Source organism: Homo sapiens, chromosome 5, assembly GCF_000001405.40.
Source record: "Homo sapiens chromosome 5, GRCh38.p14 Primary Assembly".
Classification (NCBI taxonomy): domain Eukaryota; kingdom Metazoa; phylum Chordata; class Mammalia; order Primates; family Hominidae; genus Homo; species Homo sapiens.
The window spans coordinates 33,092,474-33,097,923 of record NC_000005.10 but is presented as its reverse complement, the minus strand read 5'-3'; the positions used below and the strand labels follow the sequence as shown (position 1 = coordinate 33,097,923).

At 42.3% G+C, this 5,450-nt stretch overlaps 1 annotated feature.

The window, feature by feature from the left end:
* Positions 4,628–5,127: an enhancer, noted in NCBI's record as "H3K4me1 hESC enhancer chr5:33092903-33093402 (GRCh37/hg19 assembly coordinates)". NCBI's record gives its function as "activates a minimal SCP1, AML or CMV promoter by ChIP-STARR-seq in naive H9 embryonic stem cells {active_cell/tissue: H9 hESC(naive)}" and the evidence as "EXISTENCE:reporter gene assay evidence [ECO:0000049][PMID:30033119]".

Here is a 5,450-nt window from a genome sequence, read left to right as displayed (position 1 = left end):
GTTCTGGCCGGGGCAATCCGGCAGGAGAAGGAAATAAAGGGCATTCAATTAGGAAAAGAGGAAGTCAAATTGTCCCTGTTTGCAGATGACATGATTGTATATCTAGAAAACCCCATTGTCTCAGCCTAAAATCTCCTTAAGTTGATAAGCAACTTCAGCAAAGTCTCAGGATACAAAATCAATGTACAAAAATCACAAGCATTCTTATACACCAATAACAGACAAACAGAGAGCCAAACCATGAATGAACTCCCATTCACAATTGCTTCAAAGAGAATAAAATACCTAGGAATCCAACTTACAAGGGATGTGAAGGACCTCTTCAAGGAGAACTACAAACCACTGCTCAAGGAAATAAAAGAGGATACAAACAAATGGAAGAACATTCCATGCTCATGGATAGAAAGAATCAATATCATGAAAAATGGCCATACTGCCCAAGGTAATTTACAGATTCAATGCCATCCCCATCAAGCTACCAATGACTTTCTTCACAGAATTGGAAAAAACTACTTTAAAGTTCATATGGAACCAAAAAAGAGCCCGCATCGCCAAGTCAATTCTAAGCCAAAAGAACAAAGCCGGAGGCATCACGCTACCTGAATTCAAACTATACTACAAGGCTACAGTAACCAAAACAGCATGGTACTGGTACCGAAACAGAGATATAGATCAATGGAACAGAACAGAGCCCTCAGAAATAATGCTGCATATCTACAACCATCTGATCTTTGACAAACCTGAGAAAAACAAGCAATGGGGAAAGGATTCCCTATTTAATAAATGGTGCTGGGAAAACTGGCTAGCCAGATGTAGAAAGCTGAAACTGGATCCCTTCCTTACACCTTATACAAAAATTAATTCAAGATGGATTAAAGACTTAAACATTAGACCTAAAACCGTAAAAACCCTAGAAGAAAACTTAGGCAATACCATTCAGGACATAGGCATGGGCAAGGAGTTCATGTCTAAAACACCAAAAGCAATGGCAACAAAAGCCAAAATTGATTAATGGGATCTAATTAAACTAAAGAGCTTCTGCACAGCAGAAGAAACTACCCTCAGAGTGAACAGGCACCTACAAAATGGGAGAAAATTTTCGCAACCTACTCATCTGACAAAGGGCTAATATCCAGAATCTACAATGAACTCAAACAAATTTACAAGAAAAAAAAAAACAACTCCATCAAAAAGTGGGCAAAGGATATGAACAGACACTTCTCAAAAGAAGACATTTATGCAGCCAACAAACACATGAAAAAAAGCTCATCATCACTGGCCATCAGAGAAATGCAAATCAAAACCACAATGAGATACCATCTCACACCAGTTAGAATGGCAATCATTAAAAAGTCAGGAAACAACAGGTGCTGGAGAGTGAAATAGGAACACTTTTACACTGTTGGTGGGACTGTAAACTAGTTCAACCATTGTGGAAATCAGTGTGGTGAGTCCTCAGGGATCTAGAACTAGAAATACCATTTGACCCAGCCATCCCATTACTGGGTATATACCCAAAGGATTATAAATCATGCTGCTATAAAGACGCATGCACACATATGTTTATTGCGGCACTATTCCCAATAGCAAAGACTTGGAACGAACCCAAATGTCCAACAAGGATTGACTGGATTAAGAAAATGTGGCACATATACACCATGGAATACTAAGCAGCCATAAAAAATGAAGAGTTCATGTCCTTTGTAGGGACATGGATGAAACTGGAAACCATCATTCTCAGCAAACTATCACAAGGACAAAAAACCAAACACCACATGTTCTCACTCAAAGGTGGAAATTGAACAATGAGAGCACATGGACATAGGAAGGGGAACATCACACTCTGGGGATGGTAGTGGGGTAAGGGGAGCGGGGAGGGATAGCATTAGGAGATATACCTAATGCTAAAGGATGAGTTAATGGGTGCAGCACATCAATATGGCACGTGTATACATATGTAACAAACCTGCACATTGTGCACATGTACCCTAAAACTTAGAGTATAATAATAAAAAAAAAAAAGAAAAAAAAAGAACAAAGTAACCATAATGCTACTAGGAGAACAGAAATAAATAAAATCAAAGCAGAACTGAATGAAATTCGGACCCCCAAAATCCATACAAAGAACCAATGAAAGAAAAAAATAGGTTATTTGAAAAAATAAACAAGATGGGTACACTGATAGCTAGATTAACAAAGAACAAAAAGAGAGAAGATCCAAATAAGCACAACCAGAAATAACAAACGTGATATTACAACTGATTTTGCAGAAATACAAAGATCTTCAGCGACTATTATTACCACTTCTGTACACACAAACTAGAATTTCCAGAGGAAATGCGTGAATTTCTGGAAATACACAACCTTCCAAGATTGAATCCGGAAGAAGCTGAAACTCTGAAAAGACCAATATCAAGTTGCAAAGTTGAATCAGCATGAAAAAACCTACCAACCAAAACAGGCCCACACCAGTTGGATTCACAGTCGAATTCTACCAGACATACAAAGAAAAGTTGGTACCAATTCTACTGAAACTATTCCAAAAAATTCGAGGAGGAAGGATTCCTCCCTAAATCATTCTATGGAGCCAGCATCACCCTGATACCAAAACCTGGCAAAAACACAATGAATAAAAAAAAAAATAGAGGCTAAGGTGGGAGGATTGCTGAAGCCCAGGAGTTTGAGACCAGCCTGAGCAACACAGGGAGACTCTGTCTCTACACGTAATTAAAAAATTAACCATGCATGGTGGCACATGCTTGTGGTTGCAGCTACTTGGGAGGCTGAGGTGAGAGGATCACTTGAGCCTGAGAGGTAGGGACTTCAGTGAGCTATGATTGCACCACTGTACTTCAGACTGGGTGATAGAATGAGACCCTGTCTCAGAAAAAGAGGAAGAAAACTGCAGGCCAATATCCCCAATGAATATAGATGCAAAAATCTTCAACAAAATACTAGCAAGCGGAATCCAGCAATATGTCAAAAATCAAATTCACTGTGATCAATTAAGCTTCATTCCTGGGATGCAAGGCTGATTCAATGTATGCAAATCAATAAATATGATTCACCACATAAACATAATCATAAACAAAAAGCATATGATCATCTCGATAGATACAGAAAAAGCCTCCAATACAACATTCTTTCATGTTAAAAACCCTCATTAAACTAGTCAATAAAGAAACAGGCTGGGCACAGTGGCTCACACCTGTACTCCTACCATTTGGGGAGGCCGAGGCAGGCAGATCACTTGAGGTCGGGAGTTTGAGGCCAGCCTGGCTAACATGGTGAAACCTCGTCTGTACTAAAAATACAAAAATTAGCCAGGCATGGTGGTACACACTGTAATTCCAGCTACTTGGGAGGCTGGGACAGGAGAATTGCTTGAACCTGGGAGGGAGAGGTGGTAGTGAGCTGAGATCACGTCACTGCACTCCAGCCTGGGTGACAGAGTGAGACTCCATCTCAAAAAAAAAAAGGAACATACCTCAAAATAATAAGAGCCATCTATGACAAACCAGAGTCAACATCATATGGAATGGGTAAAAGCTAGAAGTATTGCCCTTGAGAACTGCAGTAAGACAAAGTGCCAACTCTCACCACTTCTATTCAGCATAGTGCTGGAAGTCCTCGCCAGAGCTATCAGGTAAGAGAAAGAGATTAAAAGCATCCAAATAGAAAAAGAAGAAACCAAACTGTCTCCCTTCACTGAAGATATTATTCTATACTTAGAAAACCCCAAAGACTCTGCCTAAAGGCTCACGGAACTGATAAAAGACCTCAGTAAAATTTCAGGATCCAAAATCAATGTACAAAAATCAGTAGCATTTCCATACATTAATAGCTTTCAAGGTGAGAGCCAAATCAAGAACACAATCTTGTTTACAACTACAGAAGAAAATAAAATACCTAGGAATACAGGTAACAAAGGAGGTAAAAAACTCTACAAATAAAACTGCCAAACACTGCTGAAAGAAGCCATAGCTAACATAAACAAATAGAAAAACATTCCATGCTTATGGATTGGAAGAATCAAAATTGTTTAAGTGGCCGTACTGCCCAAAGCAATCTACAAATTCAACACTATCCTTTTCAAGCCCCCAATGTCATTTTTTATAGAATTAGGGAAAAGCATTAAAATTCATATGAAACCAAAAGAAAGCCTGAATAGCCAAAGTAATTATGTGCTAAAAGAACAAAGCTGGAGGCATCTCATTGCCTGACTTCAAAATATATTGTTTAAGAGAGAAGAGCCAAGATGGCTGACTAAATGCAGCCAGGAAGTGCTTCTCCCACTTAGAGACCAGATCATTAATAAGACTGGCACAATCTGAATAATCTTTGAAAGAAAGACATTGACAGTGTATGGAGTGAGGACGCAGACTGTGAGCTGAAGCAGGAGGAAGCTGGGAACCCTGCACAAGGGTGCTGAGCATCAGGACTCATTCCTGGCTTCAAGTAACTCCTAGGGAAGGGATGAGTTAAACAGGTGTGGAATGGCCCACTCTCACCATGGACCTCCTGAATCCTAGCTGCAGGACCCCCAGCAACCCCCACAGACATTTGAGCTGGCAGGTAGAGTTTCTTGGAGAGTTGGCAGGGATAGAACTCCAGCCAGTGTGGAGCCCAGAGAGTTTGGCATGGAAATAGCTGCAGTGGAGCACAGCCAAGCATGCCCATCCCCCAAGGCTCACCATGCTCCTCTAGGTGGCTTGGCCTTTGTTGACTGTCAGACCTGGACAGAACAGGGCTGTCCTGCCAGTGAGAGGGGCCAGTCTGATCTGAGCACCCTGCTGTCTGAGAGTCTTTCCCAGGATCCCTGCCTGGCTGCACCCACTTGCAGCAGGGCCAGAGATAACCAAATGAGGCACCTCCCATCAGCTACTACCATAGCTCCTTCGCAGGTAGACCATGCCTAAGTATCATAGAACTTCTGCAGATGGGCCACTGTGGGCACACACCCACCCATAGCCTCCCCCTATGTCTTTGCCAGCACACACTCATGCATGGCCTTCCATCACCATTTTGCTGACATGTATGAATCCATGGACCTTACGGTCCTGCCCAACCTGGTGCACATGCAGACCCCATCATACTGCCACCACTGGCACACACACCTGTGCACATGCAAACCCCATCATGTCAGTGCCTCACCAGCAGGCATGCATGCACGCACAGACCTCAGAGCACTGCCACCATGATGCTGCTGGCATGCACTTGTGCAAGGACACACCACACTGCCAAAGCCCTGTCAAAGTACTTTTGCCAGCCCTCCACATCTGAGTGTTGTTGCCAGTATACTGGGAACACCTCAGCCCTCCCAACACTACAGGTACTCAACCTCAAGGGGCCAAGAACAAAGCCATGGGCCTGGTCCCAGGCCCCCAGGGTTACACCACATAGCCCAGGAGTGCTGAGCTGAGACTTGGCACCCTGAAATCATCCAGAAA